Below are 26,372 nucleotides of genomic sequence, written 5' to 3'. Positions count from 1 at the left end.
GTTTTTAATTGAGTTATTGTGCTTTTCTGTTCTAAAATTCCCATATGATACTTTCTGAAAGATTTCAATTTCCTGCTGAATTCTCATTTTGCCTTCTATTTTCTTTAACACATTAAGGCATAGTGTGCTTACAAATTTTAAAATGTGTATAACTTCATGACCTGGATCCTCTGTGAGTCTGTTTTTGGTGTCAATTATTTCTCGTGTTTTGGGTGGGGTTTTTTTTTGTTCTGTGTTTAAGTTTGGGTTTTTTTTAATGGAGTGCTGGATGGTTGTATAAGAAAAAATTTTAAAATAAGTTGAGGTCTGAGATTATGCTGCCTTCCTTCAGAGGCGATTTACATTTGCTTCTGGTAGGTGACTGGAGCATTAGCAATCCTGGATCACTTTAACCCAATTTCAGAGATTAAGATGTGAAACAGGGCTTCCACCATGGGAAATGTTAATGGCCTATTTTAAATCCACCTTTCTCTTGGTATGGTATAGCCCTCTTGGCTTCCACTGTTAAATATTGGGGATTTACTAGTGTGCCCCTATCCTTAGCAGGCCTGGTCTCCAACTTTGAAGCCTCCTTACACAGAAACTGTCAAAAATTCTGCCCAAAATTTCAGCTCCTTGGCTTTCTAGCTGCCTTCTCACCACCTCTCCCACTCCCTCTACCACTACCCAGGAAGATGAGGAACCAGTTACCAATGTTTACTGATCAGGGTGACCCTTTTTATTTTTGGGAGGAATCCTGTGTGCCTCCACACAGGAGGCACAGCTCAGCATCCTCAGGACACTTAAGTATCTGATAGTAATAATCTGGGTTTCTCTTTTTTATATGGAACACCTACTTACCTTCTGCTTCCGTTAAAATATTTCTTCAACTTTCTGGGTCTCAATTATAGTTGCCTATGCATTTCTGTAGAGTTGATTTTATAGAGAAGAGATAGATTTGCATAAGATACGGTTATTTCTCCTTTTGGCTTATAACAATGACATCCACAACCCTAGCTTCCTAATCAGTCTCAGAGTCTATGAATTTCCAGGGTCCCTCTCATCCTGGGATAGTCATGGGATACTTCTGCCAACTGGGTAGATATGGCTATGTTTCCTATACAATGGCAAATGCCCAAAGCTTGTTTCTAGATGGTTCAGTCACCAGGCATGGGTAAAAGTGATGAAAAATCATGAGATCGAAAGTGACTACAGCCCAGGGTTAGGATGCTGGCCGCATAATTGAGTCTTCTTCAGGGAGAGGCTCTGTGGACAGGAATGCAACAGTTGTCTGTTTCCCTCCTGTCAAAGATAGGATAGGGGTGTAAGTAAAAATACGTGAAACCTGAATCCCATCACTTACCAAGTTCTCCTCTGTGTGGTCCGTGCACAGTTCTTTCCTGATACAGTCTTTTATGAAAACAGAAAGGTCGGGCTTGGTAGCTCATGCTTATAATCCCAGCACTTTGGGAGGCCAAGGCAGGTGGATCATTTGAGCCCAGGTATTCAAGACCAGCCTGGGCAACATGGCAAAATCTCATCTCCACAAAAAATTTAAAAATTAGCCAGGGCATGGTGGCACACACCTGTAGTTCCAGCTACTCAGGAGGCTGAGGTGGGAGGATTGCTTGAGCCCAAGAGGCAGAGGTTGCAGTGAACCAAGATTGCACCACTGCACTCCAGCCTGGGCGACAGAGTGAGATCGTCTCAAAAAGAAAAGAAAAGAAAAGAACAAAAAAGAAAGGACCAAGGCCACATTGCTCTTGAGGGCCCTCTCTGTACCCTCTTCTCAGGCCCTGACTGGCCCTGGACATGCGTCCCTTGGCCCTGATCCTTTGTCCTTGGGTCTGTTTTCCTTTCTGTCCTTTTGTGGCACTTGAGGATTTATCTCACATCAAATCTAGATGCTGCCTAGCTCTCCAGCTCTCCTCAATGCTTCCCAGGGAAGCAAACTATTCCTCTTTATTTTCAAGGTTTCATACATGGGGAACAAAAAAAAAAAGTGGGCATTGTAACGAAGTTTACAGCATTCATATAGTACTGATTCCCAAACCCTTGCTCCTTACTGCACATGAGACAGTATAGGAAACCCAGGTATTCACATGCTTGTTTTAATATGTCAGGGCTGATGCATCTGTTTCCTTCCAGAGGAAGCCAGAAACCTCAAGATTAGCTGTGACAACCAGCACCAGGGGGAGGGACAAGTCCCACTAGGACTTCCTGGCAGACCAGGTTCTCCTGGACTTCACCCACCCATCTATGTGTCCACCATGGCACTGTGTCATAGCTGTGGCAAGACATTCAAAAGGAGATTTTACTTTATTTCCCTTTATTACAAGAAGGATGGCTTTTCTTGGGCTAGCTCACATGATGGACGGCCAATACAAGATCAACACAAGGAAGAGGGCGTTCTGGAGATGCAGGTTTAAAAAGTCATAAAATGGGCCGGGTGCAGTGGCTCGCACCTGTAATCCCGGCACTTTGGGAGGCCAAGACAGGTGGATCATTTGAGGTCAGGAGTTTGAGACTAGCCTGGCCAACATGGCGAAACTAAAAATACAAAAATTAGCCGGCATGGTGGCACGCACCTATAATCCCAGCTACTCGGGAGGCTGAGGCAGGAGAATTGCTTGAACCGGGAGGCAGAGGCTGCAGTGAGCTGAGATTGAGAGATTGCACCACTGCACTTCAGCCTGGGCAACAGAGCAATACTCTGTCTCAAACAAACAAACAAGTCATAAAATGGAGCATCTGAAAGACTTGAATGGAATGCAAGGTAGCTCTGGGACTCCTCAGGACTTTAGTGGCATTCACTCTGGGCTGGTCTCTCCAGTTTGGCTAACTTTTTTATGCTCTAATTGTTCTTGTTACTACCATTTTTTCATGATCTCCATTGTCTTTGTTTTCTCTGCCTTGTAACATTGATGGCTTCATAATTTTGGCTGGTCATGACCACTATGACCCCTCATGCATCTATGCATATGATCCTCAGCTCTGCCACTCTCTGCCCAATTGTCTCCATTTACAATTCATACGTGTGTGTGTGTATGTGGACAAGATTTTTCAAATATCCTATTACCATTTTTCTGTCTCCTTGATCCATGAGTGTCTGAAATAGGTATAAATGTAGAATTATCTACTTTGTAACTTTGTAATTTTTTTTTTTTTTTTTTTTTGAGATGGAGTCTCACTCTGTTGCTCAGGCTGGAGTGCAGTGGTGCGATCTCAGCTCACTGCAAGCTCCACCTCCTAGGTTCACGCCATTCTCCTGCCTCAGCTTCCCGAGTAGCTGGGACTACAGGCACCCGCCACCATGCCCGGCTAATTTTTTTTGTATTTTTAGTAGAGACGGGGTTTCACCGTGTTAGCCAAGATGGTCTTGATCTCCTGACCTCGTGATCCGCCCACCTCAGCCTCCCTAAGTGCTGGCATTACAGGCATGAGCCACTGTGCCTGGCCCTTTACTTTGTAATTCTATCAGCCTTTTTATTTTCATATTTTGAAGTTATGTTGCGTACATAAAAATTCCCAAGTATTATAGCATCTTAGAGTAGTGTTCCTTTCATTGGTTTACAACTAGAATTGGTAAAGTTTTTCTATAAAGAACCAGGTGGTAAAAAGTTTAGGCTTTGACAACCATTCAGTATCTGTCACAACTACTCAACCCTGCCATTGTAGCTCAAAAACAACCACAGACTATATGTAAACAAAGGGGAGTGATTGTGTTCCAATAAGATGTTATTTCTAAAAACAGGTGGTGGGTTCAGCTGGCCTGCAGGCCATAGTTCGCTGATTCCTTGATTCCTTTTAAGATTTAAATTATATTTTGTTGTGGTAGTTTTCTTTGGTTGGAAATTTGCCGGATATATCTTTTTTCTATCCTTTTGTTTTCAAACTTTCTGTGTTACTTTGTTTTAGATATATCCCTTATGAACATTATATAGATCTATTAAATGTAATCTATCAAACTGCTTTTTAATTATCAAGTTTAACTCATTGAACTTATTGTGATTACTGATCTATTTGGACTTATTTTCATCCTTAGTCTGAAGATTCAGGTCTGTCCCACCACTGGGAGGGTAGGCTAGACTTCAAATTCAAGACACGACAGACTTTAATCTAGCACTATGTTTCCTTAGCCCTGTAAAAGATACAGGTCAGGAAATGAGCTTCACTCTCCTCAGGAGTCCCAGCAACTACTTAGAATGCAGATTCTGATTCCTCCCTAACCCCACCCACAAGGGGCAAGGAGGTGTGTAAACATCTGCCAGGAACGAGGTCCAGGTGTGTGCAGTTCCTCTTGCCACAGGGAGCCACTGCCTCATTTTTCCACTGGTCTTTTTTATCATGCCAGTCACACACGCACACCATCAGCATTACAACTTACAGCTCTCCCAGTTCAGAGGCTTCACGGTAACCGTGACAGATAACTGACCCCCAGTACGTGGCCTTCTGTCAAGCACACACAAGGCACACAAGAGAAAACGAAGGCCAAGGTCTAACCGATCCAATCGAGCCACTTCAGACTGATTGTTTCAATTACTCACATAGATAGAAAAAGGAAGATTAGTCAAAAGTGCCAGCTCCCTGTGGTTCTTGTCTCACACAACAAAAGGAACAACACAAAAGGGATTCGATGACTACAAGGCAAGTCGTGGGATACCCTGTTGCTGTTGAGCCAAGGGGGTCTAGACTGCAGCTATGTGGTTTTATATTCTGTAGCTCTATTCTGAGGGGCACGAGGCAGAAAGCCCCACACCTCATCAGGACTGGAGAGGAGAGAGAAAGCTGTCTCATGACAGCCTCCCAAGGGAGATAAGGGCCTCAGAGCATGCCTTACAAGCCTCCCATCCTCTTCTGTTCCAAGGGGGATCAAGAAGTGTTCTGCCAAGACTCAGATTAGCTGTGGTTCAAGCCTTCGCCTTTGCAGGGGGTGTAGATATATGCAAGGTTGCCATGGCAAAGTCATTCCCCTGCAACTCCATCCCTTGACATTCATGTGTCCTACTAAGAATTCTCAGGAGTGTGGGTCACCCCATCAGATACCCTAATTCATTATACAGATTAGGGCTTGAATAAGTGCGTTTTGTTTGTCATAGACAATGAGGTGTGTGACCATAACAATGACTCTTAATACTGTGATCAGGCTGACTTAGAGTACTGACTGCAGCCAGGCTTTCCATCTGGAGCCAGGCTAGCTAAATATGTCATGAAACCAGATGCAGCAAGAGGTGTTGGCACACACCCCCACCTCAACTGGCTAGCAGGAAGCCCAGGACAGCGCCATTGCCCATCACCACTTACACTACAAAGTTTAGAACAATTTGTAGACTGTTAAAAAAAAAAAAAAGAATCTAACAATAACAAAATGAGGCTAAAGGGAATCATATCAATGTCCAAAAAGGTTAATCTTGTTTTGTCATCTCCAGTGGAGGCTGTTTCTTTCTGGCTCTTGGGAGGTTTCCAGAGTTTTTAGATTAAGATTCTTCAATGAGAGTGGTGGCCGCAATTAAGTGGGGCCCGATGACCTACAGACAGGAGCTGAGAGAGATAGATGGTCCCTTCCTCCACCTCTGACGTTCAGGGTCTAAAGTGCTGTCTCTTGTTTAGCTTAGTTCAGCCAGAATCCAGTTCAGCAGGTTCTCCCCTCTGTACCCCATACTATCCTAGAACATCTCCCACCTCCTGACAGGTGGGCTGCAGCAGAACCACCGTAGGCACTGTTACCTCATATTGATGATCTGACTCTTTCGAAGAAAATGGTCTCAGAGAAAACCTGAAAATCACCTTTAGAAGCAGGAAAGGATGCAGGAAAGTTCCAGGCCTGCTTTTGCCCTTGACTCACAGGGTCCTCCCTCACTGCTGGAAAATCTTCAACCGTTCTCTCTAGGAATTTCACATCTGTAGGCCACATCTTTCTGACTCCAGCCCCTATCCCTCTCCCCCTCCCTTACTCTGCTCTGCCGTACCGGCCTCCTCCGTGTTCTTCAAACATGCTGGGCACGTTCCTGCTTCAGTGCCTTGATGACTGTCTCCCAGGTGGCTGCTCAACCTCCTCCCTCCCTCCTTCACCTCTCAGTGAAGTCTTCTCTCACCACAGATAAAATCAAGACCTCCTCTCCATGCCAGAATACTCTATCTCCCTTCCCTGTTTGATTTTTCTCTATAACAAGTATTACCATCTCAACATTCTCTATATCACTGCTACTTAAGTTCAGGAATCTTGCCTGCCCTTTTCACTGTTGGGAGCCCAGCCCCTATAACAGTGTCTGGCACATAGTCGGTGCTCAATAAACAAGCATTGAGTGAATACATTTGGCCTAAGCCAGTTAAATAAACCTCACCCACACCCACAGCACAGACTACTCAGCCTTAGGCCACAGACAAATGCCTGCCCTTGGCCACAGAGCCTAGTCATGGATTTCAGGCTACACTAAGCTCAAAACTTTTGTTCAAAGATTTGTTCATTGATTCAAAAATTATTGAACCATGCTATGTGTCAGGTACTGTCACTGGTATTTATTAAATAAAAGAATAAAACAGGCAAAGCCCTCTCCACATAAAGGTCACATTCTGGTAAGAGAGACAGGCCAATATATGTGCTTTCCATGAACTGGGAGAGATGATCATTTGTGACTGTGCTGCACTGACAAAGCATGTATGGATCGCATTGTCTAGTTCTAACAATGCTAAGCCTTACCAGCACAGGCAAGGGGATTAAAAAGATTTCCACAAAAACCCCTAGGCTGAAATGCACAAACAAGAAACCCTGGTGCTGATATTTTTCTCTCCCCTAGAGGGAGCTCCTCATCAGTCAAATTAAGATACTGTGGAAATGCTTTTAGAAAACAGATGTTTGAAATGTTTCCTTCTTTATGTGATTCTGTTGCCAAAAGGAATGTGACTCACTCATAACAACTCTCTCAGTCGAACACCTAAAACTTTGGAAATAGAATTTCCTCACCTACTTATTACTTACAAAATCATTGTATTGGTTTTGGACCCAGTTGTTAAAAATATAAAAATGCAACAACTTCTGACTGGTTTATAGAACAACTGATTATCATTAGGGAATATGAAATTTTTTTCACCAGACTTCAATAAAAACCTTTGCATAATTGGTGGATGCAACTGGAAGTGAATGTCTTGAGTTGGAAGACAGAGCCAATCACGCCATCTTCCCTCTGCATTGCAGGTCTTTGTGAGGGTCTTTTCCAGTTTCAACAGCCATTACAACCAACATCCAGGAACCGAGTTTAAACTTCAGACCAACAGGTCACTGTAGGACAAAAAGTTAAATCCTCACTCTCCCATGCCTCCTCCCTCCCCAACAAAAAACATAAGAGGAAAAACTAAACACCAACTCTCTGTTGATGTTCTTTGACATCAACAGACAGTTCATAGAAAACAAAACAGCTGGGGAAAGAAAGACTCTGAACATATGCAAGGATGCTCAACTTACCCATAAAAAAAAAACAGATTGATAACAGGTCCTTTGTGTTGGCAAGGATAGAGAGAAACAGGCAGTATTATATGTTGTTGGTCAAAATGTAAACTGGCAAAATTTCTTTGGATAGCAATTTGACAATAGCCATCAAAACTGAAAATGTACAGACCCCTTGATCCAGCAATTCTACTGTAGGAATTTTTCTAACCAAAAAATCCCCAAAAGTTGGCACCCTTTTAATACTAAAATAAGATGAGAACAGTGCAAGAAGAGAAAACTATCAGCCAATCTGATTTATGAACACAGGTATAAATATTAACAAACTGAATCCAATGGTGATTTCAAATAATGCTTGAATGAGTAGGATTTATTCCACAAATGCAAATATGTTAGTCATTCATCTTAACTACAAACATAAACAGATCCATATTTACTTAAGCAAAATAGAAGTGTATTGAAACAATATTTAGTAGCTCACCAAATTATCAGAAAGCCCAGGGACCAGGCTCAGAAAACAGGCAGATCAAAGAGAAGTTATGCACCCAGAACCACAGAAAACATCATACCACAGAACCAGCCTGCTGAGGATTCCAGCACCAACACAGGGGTTGCTATCCTGGTTCTCTGGATCCCAAGCTGCAGACTGAAAATTCTCAGCACACAAATTTGATTGGCCAATCCTGGTCACATGTCTGTCCCAGCAGCCAGGGGAGCTGAGAAAGTGAGAAACTGGTATTTTCAGCTCTATAATTAGAGGCAGGCTGTTTCCCACCCAGACAGATAAGAAGGAGAGTCCCCAGACATGGGGAAGGGAATCAGGTGTGTTTGGGCTCAGAAAACAACACCCCCAAAGTATAGCTCTTTGCCGTACTAAGCACCTTGAATGAAAGGCCTCCCAAGCTGCCTCAGAATCAAGGTCTTTGATCTTCCGTTGTTTCTCCCCCCAAGTGCGGGAAGGGGCTCTCTCTGAGTTCCTTTATCTGACTGAGGGAAGTTCTTTTAAAGAAACACAATTGCCTTCAATCCACTGTTTGAAATCAAATTAAAAAGGGATAGTTACTCACTGAAGAAGAAATTAAAGATCATCTGCATGAGCAGACTTTTCATCTGTTCTGAGGGCTGTCACCAAGAGGCTTTATCTGCATAATAAGACAACCTTTGGCTGGGCGTGGTGGCTCACGCCTGTAATCCCAGCACTTTGGGAGGCCAAGGCAGGTGGATCACGAGGTCAGGAGTTCAAGATCAGCCTGACCAACGTGGTGAAACCCCATCTCTACTAAAAATACAAAAATTAGCTAGGCATGGTGGCACGTGCCTGTAATCCCAGCTACTCAGGAAGCTGAGGCAGGAGAATCGCTTGAACCTGGGAGGCAGAGGTTGCAGTGAGCTGAGATAGCGCCACTGCACTTCAGCCTGGGCAACAGAGCGAGACTCTGTCTCAAAAACAAACAAACAAACAAACAAACAAACAAAAACAACCTTTGTTTGCAATGCAGTTCCACCCTTCACCTTCCTACAACTTATCACCACCCCTACTAGAGCCTAGAAGAACTTTGCCTTCAGCTATTGTTTGTGCTTCAGTCTCATTCATCCTTCTTAAAAATCATTTACTCTTCCTCTAGAATTGTCTACATCTTCCACTTTCCTCTCCCATGTGAAGAAGGTATTTAAGCTTCAATTATCTGACTTTTCTTTGAGTTTCATGCTTGTATGATTCCCATGTGCTTGCATGCTAATACATTTGTATGCCTTTTCTCTTGTCTGTCTATCGTCAGTCTATTTCAGCAGATTCAATTATCAAAACTTCAGAGGGAAAATTTAAACTTCCCTGGAGGTGTCAGGTAGCCTAAAATCTGGCTAAAGCCCACCACTGTGAGGAGGTTTCCGTGGGAAAAATATATCGATGTAATTTACCATATTAACAGATCAAAGAGGAAAACAGTGAAATCCTTCCTGCTTGAAGCTGCCTTTGCAAAAATTATAACTGAGAGAATTCTGACAGTGAAAGAGATCTGACCCAACTAACTCCATCTTGCTTCGAACCTCCAAGCTGTTCTTGTTCATTCCTGGGCATAGGCTGAACTAACTTTGGGAGGAATTTAGTTTGTAGCCCAACTTTGAAACAAAGATGGTAACAGCCCTTTCCAAAACAAACCTCCTTCCTGCCTGGGGGTTAGACTGCCTTTGCAGAACTAACAAATTAGCCACAAGATTAGAAATTATGGTTTAGGAGTCATGCAGTTAGAAGCTGCAAGATTATGGACCTCCCCAAATTGTCCCTGGGGATAACATTACTGTTGTAAAACCTAAGATCAGTACTTGAGATATTTTCAGACCCTGTACTTGATGGATCAGTAGACACCACCCAAACCAGTAAACTGGTTCATTTGGTCTTGTGGCCTCCCCACCCAGGAACTGACTCAGCACAAGAGAACAGCTTTGACTCCCTATGATTTCATCTCCAACCTGACCAATCAGCGCTTCCCACTTTCTGACCCCCTACCTGCCAAGTTATGCTTAAAACCCCCTATCCCCAAGCTTTCAGGGAGACTGATTTGAGTAATAATAAAACTCAGGTCTCCCATACAGCCAGCTCTGTGTGAATTAAACTCTTTCTCTATTGCAATTCCCCTGTCTTGATATTGGCTCTGTCTAGACAGCAGGCAAAGAGAACCCACCGGGTGGTTACATGCTGTTATTAAAAAGAAAAGCATTTAATAAACATCTTGATTGCAAAAAACAATTAGCACACAAGAATGGAAGGAAATGTACTTAATTTGCTAAGGCTAGATAAAATGAAACTCCTGCAAATGTCCTCACTGGTGGGAAAGCATAAGAAACAACCCCATTAAAGTCAGAGGGAAACGTGGTGCCACTCCCCACAATGCTTTTCAACGCTGTTCTTGAGTCTTTGTGCAACAGCAGAAGGAAGGAAAGAAGGAAGGAAGGAAGGAGGGAGGGAAAGAAAGAGGTATCATGCTGGAGGAAAAAAACTACAAAGTTGTCAGTATTTATAACTGATATGGTCACCTACTTTAAAAACCCCAAAGAATCAACTAACAAATTATTAGAACTACGAAATGCAAGGAGAATGCGATTATTATTGTAAGAAATTTCAACATCAGTAGCCAAAAAGCAGGGACATGGGGGAATTGAATAAACAGTAATCATCAAGCAGTCATCAGCAGATACATACAGAACTTTATATCTTTCAAACAGAGAATAATCATTTATTTCATATGTCCAGAGAATATTAACAAAGAACTGCCATGTACTTGGCCACTAAAAGAAGCTTAAAAACAACAAAAAAATAGAAATTGTATACATATTTTCAGTGATCATATCCAATAAAATCAGAAACAAATAATTTAAAAATTAATAAAAGTCTTACCTCATTGGAAATTAAGAAAAACTCTTAAAGGAAGGTGAAATCAAGATAAAATTGCAAACTACCCATAAAGCAATGAAAAAATAGACCACTTCCTAATAAAGCCTGGGCTTAGAGGGAATTTCACAGCCTCAATGCCTTATTATGGAGGATGGACCCCAACAGCCTCAAATGCCTTATTATGGAAGATAGACCCCCAAAATACATCCCAAAAATGTGGGAACTCATCCTAACAGTGAGAAAAAAGACAAAACAATCTAACATAAATGAAGACTAGGAGATAATAAAAGTTTGAATTAGTGAAATGGAAAACCAAGAAAAAAAGTTAAAGGAAAGATAAACTCAAAAGCTGTTTCTTTGAAAAACAGACAAACAAACAAACAGATAGACTCTCCAGTTCTCTTATAAACCAGATTAAAGAAAAAAAAGAGGGTAAAAATATACAAGACAGAAAATGAGAACTGAGACTCAACTACAGATGTGGTGAAATTAAAATTATATTAAGGAGAACAACACTATGCAAGTTTATGGCAAACCAAATTTGAAACTATTGAGGGAATGGATGGTTTTCTAACAAAATCTAAATTACCAAAATCAATCCAAGAAAAAATAGAAAACTTGAATAGAACAATTACCAAGGAAGATTATATTTTTATATATTAAATATTGCCCTGGAAGAAATAGTTTCATAGCTGAGCTTTATCTAACCTTTAGAGAGAAGATCATTCCAAAGATATTTAAACTATTCCACATAATAGAAAAAAGAAAAGAAATTCTCCAATTCATTTTACGAAGCCAGATTACACTTCATACCAAATCTGATAAAGATAGCTCCTCCCCCAACAAAAAGATAGACCAGAGAGGTTGGCAAACATTTCTGTAAAGAGCCAAATAGTAAATATTTTAGGTTTGGGGCCATACAGTCTCTTTTGCAAGTACTCAACTCTACCACTCACAAAAGCACTCCGAACAATATGTAAATGAATGAGTGCAGTAGTGTTCCAAATAAATCTTTATTTATGAACACTGAAATTTGTATTTGATATAATTTTCCATTGTCACAAAATACTACTCTTCTTTTAATTTTTTCGCAACCATTAAAAAATGTAAAAACCATTCTCAGGTCGTGAGATGTACAAAAACGAGTCGTGGGCTGAATTTGGCCCAGGGGCAGTAATTTGCTGACCTCTGCTATGGCCCAATCTCAGTAATCAATACAGATGTAAATGTAAAAAAATTGAACATTACCAAATAGAATCCAGCAGTGTGTCCAAAGAACAAGACAGTAAGAGTAAATAAGGGTTATTCCAGAAATATTCAACATCAGGAAAAGGTAGTCATATGTCTTTACATGAACAATTTAAAGGGAAAACAAAAAGCCCCCTGATCAACTTAATATATGCTGAAAATGCTGGTTATAAAGTTCAGCAGCCAATCTTAATAAAACTCTGAGAAAAACTAGAATAGAAAGAAACTGCTACAAACTGGAGACTAGTTTGTTGGTTTTTTGGTTTTTTTAGGCAAGGAGCATTCTAAATTGTTTAAAAAAAAAGGTGCAGCGGTGGGGTGGGGGAGTGGTGGCGGGGGAGGGGTGGTGGTGGCAGGCACAGTAGCTCTTGCCTGTAATCCCAGAGCTATGGAAGGCCCAGGAGGGAAGAGTGCTTGAGGCCAGGAGCTCAAGGATCTTGCCACTGCATTCCAGCCTGGATGACAGAGCACCATTTCCATTAAAAAGCCATTTGAATTAAAATTAGGACCCTGACAAGGATGCCTTCTACTATCACTATACACATTGTTGTGGTTCCAGCAAATGCAACAGGATGGCAAAATGGAAACATTAGAATACATTTTGAAAAGAAGATAAAAATTATTTCTTTCTGCTGCTGATATAATACACCTAGAATATACACCTACTATGTACCCATAAAAATAAAAAATAATAATAAGGTACCTAGAAATTCCAAGAGAATCTAATGAGGACAAAATAGAGAAATTAATAGAGAATTTGGTATGTGGTCTAATAAAAAATAAATACACAAAAATCTATAGTGTTTCTCTGTATTAACAAGAGCCAAATGAAAAATGAATTGGATAAAATATCCATCCATAATAGTAAAAAAAAAAACCCCACATCTGTTAAATACTTGGCAATCAATTAAATACGGAACCTGTATGAAGTAACCTGTAGGTCAAATTAAAAGACACAGAACAGGATCGGAAAAATGTCCTTAGATGGTAAGATTATTAACGTATTTTGCAAGAGAGAGAATAGATTATGATAGCAAATATATAATGAATACAATCCCAAATAAAATACCAATGGATTTTTAATTATACGCAATGATACAAAGGCATCTCTCTCAAAATAAATATCCAGTTACCAAGAAATCATTAATAAAGAACAGCCAGGGGTCCATCACCGTAGCTCACACCTGTGATCCCAGCACTTTGGGAGGCCGAGGTGGGCAGATCACCTGAGGTCAGTAGTTTGAAACCAGCCTGGCCAACATGGTGAAACCCCGACTCCTCTAAAAATACAAAAATTAGTGGGGTGTGGAGGCACACGCCTATAATCCCAGTTACTCAGGAGGCTGAGGCAGGAGAATCGCTTGAACCCAGGAGGTAGAGGTTGCAGTGAGCTGTTGTGCCACTGCACTCCAGCCTGGGTGACAGAGTGAGACTCCATCTCAAAAAAAAAAAAAAAAAAAAAAGAGAATAGACAGGGAGCCCAGACTCAGCACTCTAAAGTAACTGTACCCCAAACAATAGGAATAGACATACAAATGATCAGAACAGAGTGGACAAACAAAAAGAAATAGACCCCAACTAATATGAAAATTTAATAAATGATAAAGGTGGTATTTCATTTTTATGGGAAAATCACAGCTTCTTTAATAAATAGTGGGTCTATCTAGAAAAATAAAGTTGGACCCCTCATCTCTCAACACATGTCAACATTAATTCCTGGTAGACAAACTCTAACTGGAAAATCAACCCCTGAGGTGGCTGACTCCCAATTCCCAGTCAACCGGTTCCAGCACACTCTGGATGGCCCACTCTTGACAGGATGATCAGGCAATGAGATGTGGGCCAGGATAGCTCAGACCCTTCCAAGGGCCCTAAGAGAGAGGGGCACCCACTTTTTAAAGCCCTTGTTCCCAGTTCCTGGGGTGTCCAACTTGGATGTGTAGCAGCAGCAGGAGATCTCTGGCCAGCAACAGCTAGGAGTTGCCTGCCAGCTGGTGGACTCGAGCAAACCCTTCCACACCCGAGGTTTAGTCTACACCAGGGCTCCCCAAACCCCAGGCCAGGGACCGTAGCAGTCCATGGCCTGTAAGGAATGGGGCCACACAGCAGCGGGTGAGCAGCAGGTGAGCATTACGGCCGAGCTCTGCCTCTTGTCAGATCAGCTGCGTTCGATTCTCATAGGAGCGTGAGCCCTGTTGTGAACTGCGCATAGGGATCTAGGTTGCACACCCTTATGAGAATCTTATGCCTGATGCTCTGAGGTGGAATAGTTTCAGTTTCATCCCCTCCAACCCCCGTCCATGGAAAAATTGTCTTCTGTGAAACCAGTCTGTAGTGTCAAAAAGGTTGGGGACCTCTAGTCTGCACCTTCCTGACACCACCACACATCACCTGGCAGGCCTCCCATGGTGCAGAGCTCAGCAGACACAGGAGCCCTCCTCTTGCTGACGTTAGCTCATTTCCACAAAGTTTCTTTCACTATAATTGTATGACCATGGAGGTTGGGATACTAGTGCCAGAGTAACCGGGAGAGGAATTTGCGAGAGAGGGCAGCTCCAGGTGCAACCTTCCTCTGGGCCTTGGATCCCTCGCTGTTGCGGTTAACAGGAGACAAACCATTCTACCTGCTGCCTGCCCCCTGCCTGTTTTCTCTTTCACCTCAACGCTCTAGCTGATGGGCATAGTTTCTCCTGGATGTCCTAATTAACTTTCTTGATGTTTTCCTTTCCTCCCTTTTACTAGATTTTATCTGTAATCAATATTTCCCTCTCCACAAAGTTTGAGACAATACTGTATGACCTGTAGGTGTGGGAGAACTTTCTAGACCAGAAAGGAAACACAAAAGCTAGGAAAGAAAAGATATATGTTTGGCCGGGTTCGGTGGCTCACACCTGTAATCCCAACACTTTGGGAGGCCGAGGTGGGCAGACCATGAGGTCAGGAGATCAAAACCAATCTGGCTAACACGGTGAAACTCCATCTCTACTAAAAATACAAAAAATTAGCCAGGTGTGCTGGCATGCACCTGTAGTCCCAGCTACTCGGGAGGCTGAGGTAGGAGAATCACTTGAACCCAGGAGGTGGAGGTTGCAGTGAGCTGAGATCACGCCACTGCACTCCAGCCTGGGCCACAGAGCAAGATTCCATCTTAAAAAAAAAAAAGAAAAAGAAAAAGAAAAAGAAAAAAAAAGAGATATGTTTGACTGAAATGCTTCACTGGCAAAAGATACTTTCATAAGCAAAGGTTAAAAAAAACAGAAAGGAGAATTGCAAAACAAATGACAGATAAACAGTTTGAATGACTGTAGAGTTGTCCCGGATGACAAAACTACAACCCAATAGAAAAATGGCCAAAAGAATATAAATAGAAGAGCAAATATATATTAGGTTGGTGCACAAGTAATTGCGGTTTGCCACTGAAAGTAATGGCAAAAATAGGCCAGGTGCGGTGGCTCATGTCTGTAATCCTAGCACTTTGGGAGGCCGAGGTGGGCAGATCACCTGAGGTCAGGGGTTCGAGACCAGTCTGGCTAACATGATGAAACCCCGTCTCTACTAAAAATACAAAAATTAGCCAGGCATGGTGACGGATGCCTGTAATCCCAGCTACTCAGGAGGCTAAGGCATGAGAATCACTTGAACCTGGGAGGCAGAGGTTGCAGTGAGCCAAGATCGTGCCACTACCCTCTAGCCTGGGTGACAGAGTGAGCCTCCGTCTCAACAAAAAAAAGTAATGGCAAAAACTGCAATTACTTTTGCACCAACCTAATATTATCAATGAACATATGAAAGTATACCCAATCCTCCCAGTAGCAATAGAAATGTAAAATAAAGTTACTATGAGATGTTACTTTATACCCTTTAGACTAAAAAGAATCTGTAAGTGTGATAATGCCTACTGTTGGCAGAGATGCATGGTGTTCTCATACACTATGGTTGGTGGAATTATGGCTTTCTAAAGGGGCAGTTTGGCATCATCTGTTAAAATTTAATAGGCCCATACCCTTCATACCCTTTGGCCCAGAAGCCACACTGTCCTATGAGAAGCCCTGAGTGATAGCATTTCATGTGTGTGATGACACACATGAAAGACATTTATGCCACACAATATGTAGTGGCAAATAAAAACAATGAACAAAAGAATACCCATAGCTAAGGAAATGGATGCATAAACAGTGGTACTTCCATTCCTTGGAGTATTAGGAGTATTAATTGTCAATAAGAAGAATGGTTAGATCTATACCAGCTGATTTGGTGATATTTCCACAATATATTGTGTTCTCTTTGGCCAAAGGCCATGCATGCAGTGTGTACTATCTATGGATGGAAATATCCTCCTCTTCAGAAAAAAAGCACCTCCAAAGCCTTTGCACAATGCACCCTCAAGGACCCTCAGTGATTACTTATAATCTGTGATTTCAGTAGTCCGTCTCAACAATGTAAACATAGCCTGCTCAGCGCCTCCCAAATGTATTGGACCACTGTAGGCCCCCAGTGCCCCATCTTCCTGTTTTGAGTTGCTACCTGGGACGTATACTTGTCTTGTAGAAGAGGAGGTGCTAAAATTGGTAGATATCATCAATGTCAGGAGATGACAACCTAGTCTTGGAGATGGAAATGGCTCCAATGATAGCACCCAGCCCAAGACAATGTGGCACCTTGCTACACAGAAGACGACAGTGCCTCAGCCCAAGACAACAGGGGACAACACCACCTTTACCTGACCTGGACCCTTGGCCATGACAGTGTCCAGGAAGGTAAGACAACTGATGACTGACAACTCCTGCACCCCCCATCTAGGACTTGGTTACAGAACTCAAATTTGTCTTTCTAAGTTCCCTGATGAGGAGGAACCTTTGGAAGGGCGTTTTACCAAGCTAGTGCATTCCCTGTCACGAAGTCTCCTGGCTTACATTATTGCCTGTGATTCTACCAATTGGCCCATGATACTGGCCAGACCACTCTTGACTGCTGTCACCAATTGTGGCAGGCTAAGTCATGTGTGCTTACCCACACCTCACTGGAGTTCCAATTAACCTAACCATCCCCTGTCTGGCCACACCTCCTACATGGAGATGGACTGAGTTCTGGGTCCTCCAGGATTGGAGACATTTTGACATCTGTTGGGATAGTTATTTTTCTACCACCGCTGCCCCACCTACCACTTCACCACTTCCTCCCCCAACACCTTAGACACATCCTTTGAGGTCTCCCCAAATGCAGGATCATCCACACCATCAGAGATCAGACTGCCCCTCTACTACTACCTCCCCTTATGAGCCTAATAGTCCTAATATTTTAACACAGTGGGATGAAATCAGAGCCAAGCTTCTCAGGAGATGTAATTGTTGGGCCTGTTAATATACCACACCAAAGCTGTTCCCTGAGCTACTCTAATTCCCCCTGGTCTGGCACAATTACCAGCACTACAGATATCACTCTCTCTTGCTAACATAAAACCCAAAATTACAGCCCAACTGCTTGGCATCCAAGGCATACATGTTGTTATTTGCCCCTCCAGAACCCCAAGCAGGGATTGTGTTTACATATCTGACCCAGATTTAACATGACTTGGAGACACTTGGGAGCTCAGTGTCACTTCACCTCTTGGGGCCTAGGGTAACATAGCCCATTTTCAGGTTCTCTAATTCATCCATGGGGTATACCATGGTCCTGTGAAACTTGGGACTCATTACATGCACTCCTGATTCCCACAGCCCACTTCTGCCTCCCTTTATGCAAGGGGAACAACAGGGTCCAGACCCAAATCTGTAACTTCAAATGTGTCCTACCTGTATTAGCTCATTTTCACACTGCTGATAAAGACATACCCGAAACTAGGAACAAAAAGAGGTTTAATTGGACTTACAGTTCCACATGGCTGGGGAGGCCTCACAATCCTGGCAGAGGGTGAAAGTCACTTTTTACATGGCAGTGGCAAGAGAAAAATGAGAGAGAAGGAAAAACAGAAACCCCTGATGAACCCATCAGATCTTGTGAAACGTATTCACTATCACAAGAATAACACAAGAAAGACCAGCCCCCATGATTCAATAACCTCCCCCTGGGTTCCTCCCACAACATGTGGGAATTCTGGGAGATACAATTCAAGTTGAAATTTGGGTGGGAACACAGCCAAACCATATTGTCCCACCCCTGGACCCTCCAGATCTCATGTCTTCACATTTCAAAACCAATTATGCCTTCCCAACAGTCCCTGAAAGTCTTAACTCATTTCAGCATCAACCCAAAAGTCCACAGTCCAAAGTCTCATCTGAGACAAGGCAAGTCCCTTCCACCTATGAGCCTGTAAAATCAAAAGCAAGCTAGTTACTTCCTAGATATAATGAGGATACAGGTATTCGGTAAATACAGCTGTTCCAGATGGGAGAAATTGGCCAAAACAAAGGGGTTATAGGGCACATGCAAGTCCAAAATCCAGCAGGGCAGTCAAACTTTAAAGCTCCAAAATGATCTCCTTTGAGTCCAGATCGCACATCCAGATCACACTGATGCAAGAGGTGGGGTCCCATGGTCTTGGGCAGCTCCGCCCCTGTGGCTTTGCAGAGTACAGCCTCCCTCCTGGCTGTTTTCACAGGCTGGTGTTGCGTGTCTGCGGCTTTTCCAAGCAAACAGTGCAAGTTGCCAGAGGATCTAACTTTCTGGGATCTAGAGGATAGTGTCCCTCTTTTCACAGCTCCACCAGGCAGTGCCCCAGTAGGGGCTCTGTGTGGGGGGTCCAACCCCACATTTCCCTTCTGCACTGCCTTAGCAGAGGTTCTCCATGAGGGACCCAGCCCTGCAGCAAACTTTTGCCTTGGCCTCCAGGCATTTCCATACATCTTCTGAAATCTAGGCAGAGGCTCCCAAACCTCAATTCTTGACTTCTGTGCACCCACAGTCTCAACAGCTTCAGAGGGTGGAAGCTGCCAAGGTTTGGGGCTTCCACCCTCTGAAGCCACAGCCTGAGCTGTACATTGTCCCCTTTCAGCCATGGCTGGAGCACCTGGGACACAGGGCACCAAGTCCCTAGGGTGCACACAGCATGGGGACCCTGGACCCAGCCCACAAAACCACTTTTTCCCCCTGGGCCTCCAGGCCTGTGATGGAAGGGGCTGTCATGAAGTTCTCTGTCATGGCCTGGAGACATTTTCCCCATAGTCTTGGGGGTTAACATTAGGCTCCTTGCTACTTATGCAAATTTCTGTGGCCAGCTTGAATTTCTTCTCCATAAATGTTTTTTTTTTCCACTGCATCATCAGGCTGCAAATTTTCTGAACTTTTATGATCTGTTTTCCTTTTAAAATGGAATGCTTTTAACAGCACCCAAATCACCTTTCGAATGCTTTGCTGCTTAGAAATCTCCTCCACCAGGTACCCTAAATCATCTCTCTCAAGTTCAAAGTTCCACAAATCTCTAGGGCAGGGGCAAAATGCTGCCAGTCTCACCAAAACATAGCAAAAGTCACTTTTGCTCCAGTTCCCAACAAGTTCCTCATCTCCATCTGAGACCACTTCAGTCTGGACCTTATTGTTCATATCACTATCAGCATTTTTGTCAAAGACATTCAACAAGCCTCTAGGAGGTCCCAAACTTTCCCACATTTTACTGTCTTCTTCTGAGTCCTCCAAATTGTTCCAATCTCTGCCTGTTACCCAGTTCCAAAGTCACTTCCACATTTTCAGGTATCTTTTCAGTAACACCCCACTCTACTGGTACCAATTTACTATATTAGTTCATTTTCATGCTGCTGATAAAGACATACCTGAAACTGGGAAGAAAAAGAGATTTAATTGGACTTACAGTTCCACATGGCTGGGGAGGCCTCACAATCACAGCAGGAGATGAAAGGCACTTCTTACATGGTGGCAGCAAGAGAAAAATGAGAGAGAAGCAAAAACAGAAACCCACCAGATCTCTTGAGACTTATTCACTATCCCCTGATAAACCCATCAGATCTCTTGAGACTTATTCACTATCATGAGAATAGCACAGGAATGATTGGCCCCCATGATTCAATTACCTCCCCCTGGGTCCCTCCCACAACATGTGGGAATTCTGGGAGATACAATTCAAATTGACATTTGGGTGAAGACATAGCCAAACCATATCACTACCTAATGTCTTTGGGCCCTCCCTTATATTCAAGTAGCCAAGACCCCTTGGTTCCCAGCCAGACCATATTCATTCTGACAAATGTGAGCTATTTTTATTTCCATACTCTTAGGAGCAGGCTTATTCACTAGCAGGAACTGTAATGAGTACTGCCACTGTAACACAGCAACAAATCATTTAGGTCAATACAAACTTGTCAGCTATGCTGTCCCAACACATAAATCTGATATAGCACAGTCTCACCCTGGTGCAACAATCACATGACTCTCTAGCCCAGGTGGTATTAGATAATCACCTCACCCTAGATTAGTTCCTGGTCAGAGCAGAGGGGAGGGAGTCTGCGCCATCTAAGGAGCAACCTATTGCATGTATATAAATAACTCTGACCACGTATAAACCAATCTAAAGGCCATGGCCCAACAAGTACAGGTATTTTGTGAGCTTACCCAGTTTTATAACATTTCCTCTCTGGCTCTGGGTAAAATGTTTGACCCGTTCACTTGGCTTGATCTTACACAACCTGCCCTTTAAGAATGGGTAAAGGAAGTCCCTCTGGTGGAAATGAAAGGACACTAGAGAATAACTAATATTAGACAAAATAGAATGTAAGACAAAAAATTCTTCCAATAGACAAAAGCATTGTATAATGATGAGTCAATCCATTAATACATAATAATTATAAGCATATATGTACCTAATAAGAGCCCCAAAGTATAAGAAGCAAAAACTGACCCAGATAAAGGGGGAAATAAACAGTTCAACAACAATGGTTGGAGACTTCAACATCCCACTTTCAATAATGAATAGATGATCACCTAGACAAACGATAAACAAGGAAATAGAATATTTGTACATCACTACACAGCAACTAGACTTATCGAACCTATATAGAGTACTCATCCAACAGCAGAATACCCATTCTTTTTAAGTACACACAAAACATTCTCCAGGATAGACCATATGTTAAGCCACAAAACAAGTCTCAATAAATTGAAAATGATTGAAATCATAAAAATATCTTCTCTGATCACAGTGGAATGATCATAGAAATCAACAATCAAAGGAAATATGGAAAATTCACCAATTTGAGGAAATCAGCAACACACTTCTAAACAACTGATGGGTCAAAGAATAAATCACAAAAAAATAGAATTTACTTTGATATGAATGAAAATAAAAGCACAATGTGCAAAAACCTGTGGAATGCATCAAAAGCAGTGCTCAGAAGGAAATTTATAGCTGCAAATGGCTACATTCATTAAAAAAAAAGAAAGATCTCAATAACATAGCCTTCTACCTAAAGAAACTAGAAAAAGTATAGCATTCTACCTTGAGAAACTAGAAGAAGAGCAAACTAAACACAAAGCCAACAGGAGAGAAATAGTAAGATTATAGCAGAGATAAACTAAATAGAAAATTAAGAAAAACTATAGATCAGCAAAACCAAAAGTTGATTCTTTAAAAATATCAACAAAAATTGGCAAACCTTTAGCTACACTAAACAAGCAAAGAGACATAAGACTTAAAGTACTAACATCAGAAATGAAAGTGGGAACACTACTACCAACTTTATAGAAATAAAAAAGATTATAAAATAATACTATGAACAATTGTATATAAACAAATTAGATAACCTATGAAATGGGCAAATTCCTAGAAACACACAAACTACCAAAACCAACTGAAGAAGTATTAGAAAATCTGAATAGCTCTATATCAAGTAAAGAGATTGAATCAGTAATCAAATCATTTCCAATAAAGAAAAATCCAGGACCGATTGTCTTCACTGGTGGATTTTATCAGACATTAAAGAGAAACCAACACCAATTCTTCTAAAATTCTTCCAAAAAATAGAGGAATAGGGGCACTTCTTAACTAATTCCTTGAGGCCAGCATTACCCTGTTACCAAAGCCAGACAAAGACACTATAAGAAACTAAAGAGTGATATCCCTTATGAATATAGACTCAAAAATCCTCAGAAAATAGTAGCAACTCAAATCTAATAGCATATTAAAAGGATTATACACTATGACCTACTGGGATTTATCCCAGCAATGCAAAGAAGGTTCAACATACAAAAATCAATGTCATACATCATATTAACAGACTAAAGGGGGGAAAACACACAGTTACCTCAATTGATGCAAAAAAGGAATTTGACAAAATCCAACACTCTCTCATGATAAAAACACTAAATAAACTAGGAATAGAAGGGAACTTTTCCAACCTGCTAAAGATCATCTATGAAAAATCCACAATGAGCATCATAATTAATGGTGAAAGATTGAAAGATTTTTCTCTCAGATCAGGAGCAAGATAAGGATGTCTGTTTTCATCACTGTTATTCAACATTGTACTGGAAGTTCTAGCCAGGGAAATTAAGCAAGAAAGAAAACTAAAATGCCCACAAATTGGAAAGGAAGATGTAAAACTAGCCGGGCACAGTGGCTCACACCTGTAATATCAGCACTTTGGGAGGCTGAGGCAGGAGGATCACCTGAGTCCCGGAGTTTGAGACCAGTCTGGGCAATATAATGAGACCTCATCTCTACAAAAATCATAAAAAATTAGCCAAGCATAGTGGCACGTCCCAACTACTCAGGAGGCTGAGGTGGGAGGATTGCTTCCAGGAGGCGGAGGGTACAGTGAGCTGAGATTGCACAACTGCACTCCAGCCTGGGCAACACAGTGAGACTCTGTCTCAAAAACAAAAAAAAAAAAAAAAGAAAGAAAAGAAAACTATCTGTTTGCAGATAACATGACCTTACATACATAAAAACATAAAGAAAATCCTAAAGAATCCACAACAAAATCTATTAGGGCTAAAAAACTAATTCTTCAAAGTTGCAGGATATAAGATCAACATACAAAAATCATGTGTATTTCTACACACTAGGAGTGAACAATTCAAAAATGAAATTAAGAAAACAATTCCATTTGTAATAGCATCAAAAAGAATAAAATACTTAGGAATAAATTTAACCAAAGCAGGTGAAAGACATATACAATGAAAACTACAAAACACCATAGAAAGAAATTAAAGATGTAAATGGAATGGAAAGATACTCCGTCTTCGTGTGTTGGAAGACTACTCCCCAAATTAATCTACAGATTTACTGTAATCCCTGTCAAAATTCCCACTGTCTTTCTTTGCAGAAATGGACTAGCTAATCTTAAAGTTCATATGGAATTGCAAGGGTCTAAGAATAGACAAAATGATCTTGAAAACGAAAAACAAAGTTGGAGGACTGACACTTTCCATTTCAAAACTTACTACAAAACTACCATAATCAAGACAGTGTGATATCTATCCTGGCATTAGGATAGATATATAGATTGACAGACTAGAATTGAGAGACCAGAAATAAAAATCAATTGTACACCTATGTTCAATTGATTTTCAACAAGGGTGCCAAGACCCAGGGGAAAGAATAGTCTCCAACACAGGTGCTAGGACAACTGGATAACCCCATGCAAAGAATGAAGTTGGATTCTTTCCTCAACATATGCAAACGTGAATTCAATATTGATCTAATATCTAAATGGAACCAATAAAACTACAAAACCCTTACAATAAAACACACAGGTAAATTCTCATGATCTTGGATTTGGCAATGAGTTATTAGCTAGGATGCCAAAGCACAAGTAACGAAGAAAAAAATAGATAAATTGGACTCAACAAAATTAAAACAAAGAACATTATGAAAAAAATGAAAAGACAACCTACAGAATGGAGAAAATATTTTCAAATCATATATCTGATAAGGGTCTCCTTCCCATCATATATAAAGAATTCCCACAACTCAACCACAAAAAGACAAATAAGCCAATTAAAGCAGGCAAAGGACTTTAACAGACATTTCTCCAAAGAAGGTACACAAATGGCCAACACGTGCATGAAAAGATACTCAATGTCATTGGTCTTAGGGAAATGAAAATTGTAATCACAATGAGATACTACTTCACACTCAAGATGGCTATAATTTTTCAAAGGAAAGTAATAAGTGTTGGTGAGGATGCAGAGATTGGTGAGAATGAAAAATGTTTCAGCTGCATGAAAAACAGTTTTGTGCTTCCTCAGAAAGTTAAACACACAATTACCACACAACCAAGCAATTTCACTCCTAAGTATATACCCAAAAGAATTGAAAACAGGTGTTCAAACAAATACTTATACAAGAATGTTCATAGCAACACTGTTCACAATCACCAAACACTAGAAACACCTCAAATGCCCATCAACTGATGAATATATAAACAAAATGTAGTACATCTATACAGTAGAATATTATTCAGCCATAAAAAGGAATGAAGTACTGATACGTGCTACAACATGGAAGATCCTTGAAAACGTTATGCCTAGTGAAAGAAGCCAGACACAAAAGGCCCATATTGTATGATTCCATTTATATGAAATGTCTTTTATAGGCAAATCCATGGAGGCTAATAGCAGATTAGTGACTGTCAGGGGCTAGGGTGGGAAAAAGTAATGGGGAATGATTACTTAATGGGTACAGGGTTTCTTTTCGAAATTAGATAAAATTAGAAGCTAGAATTTTAAAGTGGTTAAAACAATCAATTTTAAGTTACATGATTACTTCAATTAATTAAAAAAGATACACAGAAACACACTAAAAACAGTATTATGTATTTTTTAGGTACATGGATGTAGTGTGTTTATAAATGCACAGTTAAAAACAAGATAGATAAATGCATAGCTAGTTGTCCAGGATACCCTCCAAGCTGGAACCAGTAATAATGCAGAGGAGGAAATATTGATCGCCAAGGTAAATTTTGAAATGCATAAATTTTTACAAGAATATATTTTACATGTTTAATTAAAAGTAAGTTATTTTATTAGAAAATTTACATCAGTTATACATGGTATAAGATCTGAAAGAATAGCTCTGGGGAAAAAATTCATGGGAAATTCCCTTTCCGCCTTATATGTGTCTGCATATTGAAATTTTGGCAACAGACATGTACTATATTTATAATCAGAAAAAAATATATATCAAGCAAGAAGAAAAGAACAGGAAGCTGGAGAAGAAGTAGTGAGGAAATAGAGACCGAGGACCATGCTCTGTGAAAACTTAGTAAGACTCAGGGAGTTTGTCTAACCCCCACCCCCATCTGCTGCCACTTTCAACTGCAAAACTGTGAACTCTGGCAGGATTTTCCAGGGACAGCCAAGAAGATAGCAAAGTTACGGTATTATGGCAACTCCCAACCAGGCCAAAATGGGGGAGAAATGGTGGAGTGTGTCATCTTGACCATGGCAACCTGGCCTGGAAGGGCTGAGCTCCCAGAACACTGGCCACTAAGTGATCCCTCCTGTAGGGGTGGATGCCTGACACCGGGACTAAGTGAAGGCCCTTGAGATGGCTGGTTCCAGCATTTGCTCACCCAGATTGGCAGTCATTAAGGGAAGTAATAGGATCCACTATTTTGAGGACTTTAAACATGCTTGGTTTACCAAGGTTGCTTGTTTGACAGTGGGGCCAGAACCTGTAAGATGCCCAGATGAGCAGTGCCATAGCAATGATATGAGGCAGCAGGATCCTCAAAAACATATAAACAGAAGCCATGGACAGTGTGTGGCCCTACAAGCCGTGGGCACCCAGCAAACCTTCCTGCAGAAAAATGGATAATGAAATGTGTGCTAAAGCCAGAGCCAAAATGGCCTGTGCTAATTCTGAATCCTAGAAGCACAGCTTTTTGTGAGCTCCCAGGAGATCTGCTTGCACAACTGCATTCTTACAGTGAGGCAGGACAGAGCCAGGTTTTGTGGGACCTAAAACATATCATTTAGAAAGCCTACTTTAAGAAAAGCACACAAAATTAGAGATGTCAAATTAGTGAGTATTTATTAAAGATGAGAAAAGAAATTACAACAGTTATACATTTTTTAAGTTGATAAATACATCAAACATAATATTTATATGAATTAACTGACCCACCTCTATATTTTCCTACATTTCAGCTGCATAACCTTTTAATGTTTCTTCATAGGATGATTTTACAACTGCATTGTCTACAGAAATATTCTTATGATTGACATTTGGTATGCATAAAGCATGTGATTTTTCACACTGACTTCCACGTTGTTTACAGTAGCTCTGCTGGTTGTGCCCTACAATCACAGGAATTCAGATAAATTCTATTTCACAAAATTCCCACCAAGAAAAGAAAA

At 41.2% G+C, this 26,372-nt stretch overlaps 1 long non-coding RNA gene across 1 annotated transcript in view, besides 1 other annotated feature; it reads right to left on the bottom strand.

The window, feature by feature from the left end:
• Positions 1-846: 846 nt before the first annotated feature.
• LOC105377087 (uncharacterized) overlaps positions 847-26,372 on the bottom strand; it is a 51,385-nt gene continuing 25,859 nt past the window's right edge. Inside the window, exon 3 of the long non-coding RNA XR_940838.2 lies at positions 847-1,281. This is a non-coding gene — a long non-coding RNA (uncharacterized LOC105377087). The remainder of the gene's footprint in view (positions 1,282-26,372) is intronic.
• Positions 4,258-5,009: an enhancer, noted in NCBI's record as "NANOG hESC enhancer chr3:51835876-51836627 (GRCh37/hg19 assembly coordinates)". NCBI's record gives its function as "activates a minimal SCP1, AML or CMV promoter by ChIP-STARR-seq in primed H9 embryonic stem cells {active_cell/tissue: H9 hESC(primed)}" and the evidence as "EXISTENCE:reporter gene assay evidence [ECO:0000049][PMID:30033119]".

The sequence above is a fragment of the Homo sapiens genome, chromosome 3 (genome assembly GCF_000001405.40).
Source record: "Homo sapiens chromosome 3, GRCh38.p14 Primary Assembly".
Lineage (NCBI taxonomy): Eukaryota > Metazoa > Chordata > Mammalia > Primates > Hominidae > Homo > Homo sapiens.
This window is presented reverse-complemented; position numbering and strand designations above follow the sequence as displayed.